Below are 3,679 nucleotides of genomic sequence, written 5' to 3' on the forward strand. Positions count from 1 at the left end.
AGTAGTACTACTCAGCCAAAAAGCCTGCTCTATAACCCTGCCTAGGGAGTGATACTCTCACCTCCACACAGATTTTGGAAAATTATAGAGGCTAACTCTACCAAAAAAGCTAAACAGCTGCTCAACTCAGCCAAAAGCCCACACCGTGGCTTCTCTTGACAGGGAGGCAATCCTCAGTTGAGCATTTCTAAGGAGCATAGCCTCTTTCCTGCCTTTCCTGAGCAATAATTTCGCCTAACCTTAAAGCCCAGCCTATAGCCCTGTCCAATAGAAGACCCCAAACAGTGGAATTGTCCAACCCTAGAATACATCCTGTGATTGACCTGGCTAGAAGCCCTCATAATACCCAGCCAGTAGCTCCACCTGATAGTGGATAACTGCCAACAGCCTCACTTGACATCAGAGGAAAGGCAGCACCCCAGAAACTAGAGAATTCACAACAAATTCTGCTAGGCTGGGGTCATCATCAGCTGGCCTTTCAAGAATTGCAGGCTAAACAAAATAGTGAAGCTCTGTCCCTGCCAAGGAACATGTATAAAGGACAGAAGGAAGGACTATCTTCTCAAATGTGCAGAAAACAATGCAACAGATGATACAAAGATTACGAAGAATTAAGGAATTAGCACACCTTCTAAAGAAACTAATGAAGTGGCCGGGCTTGATGGCTGACGCCTGTAATCCTAGCACGTTGAGAGGCCGAGGCAGGTGGATCACCTGAGGTCGGGAGCTTGAGACCAGCCTGGCCAACATGGAGAAATCTCATCTCTACTAAAAATACAAAATTAGCCGGGCATGGTGGCACATGCCTGTAATCCCAGCTACTCAGGAGATTGAGGCAGGAGAATCTCTTGATCCCGGGAGGCAGTGTTTGCAGTGAGCCAAGATCACGCCATTGCACTCCAGCCTGGGCAACAAGAACAAAACTCTGTCTCAAAAAAAAAAAAAAAAAAAAAAAAACAGAAAAGAAAAGAGAAAAGAAACTAATAAAGCTCCAATAATGGAACACACAAAGAAATTGAGATCTATAAAATGACTGACCTAGCATTCAGAATAATACTTATAAAGTGGTGTGACCAACTATAATATGCTTACTGAAAATTTAATGAAATTTGTAAAACAATCCATGAAATTTGAGAATATTGGCAAAAAAAAGGAACAATAAAAATAAACAGAAACTCAACTAATAACACAATGAATTAATTGAAAAAAATCATTAAAATTTTCAATAGGAAACTCAAGCAGAAAGAATCAGCTGCAAGACACCCATTTGAAACTGTCTAGTCAGAGGGGCAAAAAGATAAAATAATTTTTAAAAATGAAGAATGCTTATGGGAATTATGGGACACAATCAAGGAACTAAATATTCAAATAATAGGAGTTCTAGAAGAAGATAAAGCTAAAAAACCAGAAAGCACATTTAAATAAAATGACAGAAAAATTTTCTAATTTGAGGATAGATGCCAACACCCAAGTACAGTAAGCATGAAGATTCCCAATCACTTTCAACCCAAAGAAGTATATCTAAGCACATATTCAAACTATCAAAAATCAAAGACAAACCATTTTGAGAGCAACAAGAGAAAAGAAACACATTGCATAGAAACAAGTGTCAGTATGACTATGAGTAGATTTAGTGGGGGAAAAAAAACACAGCAGGCCAGGACACAGTTATATAATATATTCAAAGTGCTTGAAATAAACAAAGTAAAAGTTTTAATGAGGAATAATTTTTCAAGCAAAGGTGAGTTTCAGAAATGGGTAAGAAATAAAAAACTTTCCCAGACAACAACAACAACAAAAACACCTATGTGAGTTAATCACCATCAGACCTGCCTTACAAAAATTGATAGAGAGTTCTTTTTTTTTCCAACATTTATTTTAGATTCAGGGGGGTACATGTGCAGGTTTGTTTCTTGGATAAATTGTGTGTCATGGAGGTTTGGTGTACAGATTATTTCATCAACCAGATAATAAGCACAGTACCTAGTCGGTAGTTCTTCAGTCCTCCCCCTCCTCCCACCTTCCACACTGAAATAAGCCACAATATCTATTGTTTCCTTCTTTGTATCCATGTATACTTAAGGTTTAGCTCCCAATTATAAGTGAAAGCATGAGATATTTGGTTTCTACTCCTGAATTAATATGCTTAGGATAATGGCCTCCTGCTCCATCCATGTTGCTGAAAAGGATATGAGCTCATTCTTTTTTGTAGCTGCAAAGTATACCATGGTAGATGTCTACCACATTCTCTGTCCAGTCTACCTTTGATGGGAATTTAAGTTGATTCTACGTATTTGTTATTGTAAACAGTGCTGAAGTGAACATTTGCATACATGTGTCTTTATGGTAAAATTATTTCTCTTCCTCTGGTTATATATCCAGTAATGGGATTATTGGGTCAATAATTCTGTTAATTCTGATAATTCTGTTATTAGCTCTTTGAGGAATCACCATAGTACTTTCCACAATGGCTGAACTAATTTACACTTCCACCAACAGTATATTAGTTGTCCCTTTGCTACTCAACCTCACCACTATCTGTTACTTTTTGACCTTTTAATCATAGCCATACTGACTGGTGTAAGATGGTATCTCATTGTGGTTTTGATTTTTATTTCTCTAATGATCAGTGATATTGAGCTTTTTTTTCATATGCTTATTGACCAAATATGTGTCTTCTTTAGAAAACTATCTGTTCATGTCCTTTGCCCACATTTTAATTGGGTTGTTCATTTTTTTGCTTATTAATTGGTTTAAGTCCTTATAAATTCTAAATATTAGACTTTTGTCAGATACATAGTTTGCAAATATTTTATCTCATTCTCCACGTTGTGTGTTTACTCTGTTGATAGTTTCCTTTGCTGTGCAGAAGATCTTTAATTAGGACTCTTTTGTCAATTTTCGTTCTTGTTGCAATTGCTTTTGGACACTTTCTCTCTCTCTCTCTCTCTCTCTCTCTCTCTCTCTCTCCCCCTCCCCCTCCCTCCCTCCCTCCCTGCCTCCCTCCCTCCCTCCCTCTCTCTCCCTCCCTCTCTCCCTCTCTCCCTCTCTCCCTCTCTCCCTCTCTCTTTTTTTTTTTTTTTGAGACGGAGTTTCACTGTTGTTGCCCAGGCTGGAGTGCAATGGCGCGATCTCGGCTCACTGCAACCTCTCCCTCCAGGGTTCAAGCGATTCTCCTGCATCAGCTTCCCGAGTGGCTGGGATTACAGGCATGCACCACCACACCAGGTTAATTTTGTATTTTTACTAGAGACAGGGTTTCACCATGTTGGTCAGGCTGATCTTGAACTCCTTATCGCAGGTGATCCACCCACCTTGGCCTACCAAAGTGCTTTGATTGCAGGCGTGAGCCACTGTGGCAGGCCTGGACACGTTTTCACACAATCTTTGCCAGAGACTATGTTCAGAATAGTATTTCCTAGGTTTTCTAGGGTCTTTATAATTTTAAGTTTTACAATTATGTCTTTATTCCATCTTGATTGATTTTTGTATGTGGTGAAGAAAGGAGTTCATTTTCAATCTTCTGCATATAGCTAGCCAATTATCTCAAGAACATTTATTGAATAGAGAGTCCTTTCCTCATTGTTTGTTTTTGTTATGATCTTATACCTAGAAAACCCCATAATCTCTGACAAGAATCTCCTAGATCTCATAAACAACTTCACTAAAACTTGAGGAT

At 38.8% G+C, this 3,679-nt stretch overlaps 1 annotated feature.

Annotated features, from left to right (window-relative positions):
* Nucleotides 648–825: a silencer, noted in NCBI's record as "fragment chr14:85147676-85147853 (GRCh37/hg19 assembly coordinates)". NCBI's record gives its function as "represses an EF-1alpha promoter that drives an FKBP-Casp9 reporter gene in an ReSE screen in HepG2 liver carcinoma cells {active_cell/tissue: HepG2}" and the evidence as "EXISTENCE:reporter gene assay evidence [ECO:0000049][PMID:32094911]".

The sequence above is a fragment of the Homo sapiens genome, chromosome 14 (assembly GCF_000001405.40).
Source record: "Homo sapiens chromosome 14, GRCh38.p14 Primary Assembly".
Taxonomy (NCBI): domain Eukaryota; kingdom Metazoa; phylum Chordata; class Mammalia; order Primates; family Hominidae; genus Homo; species Homo sapiens.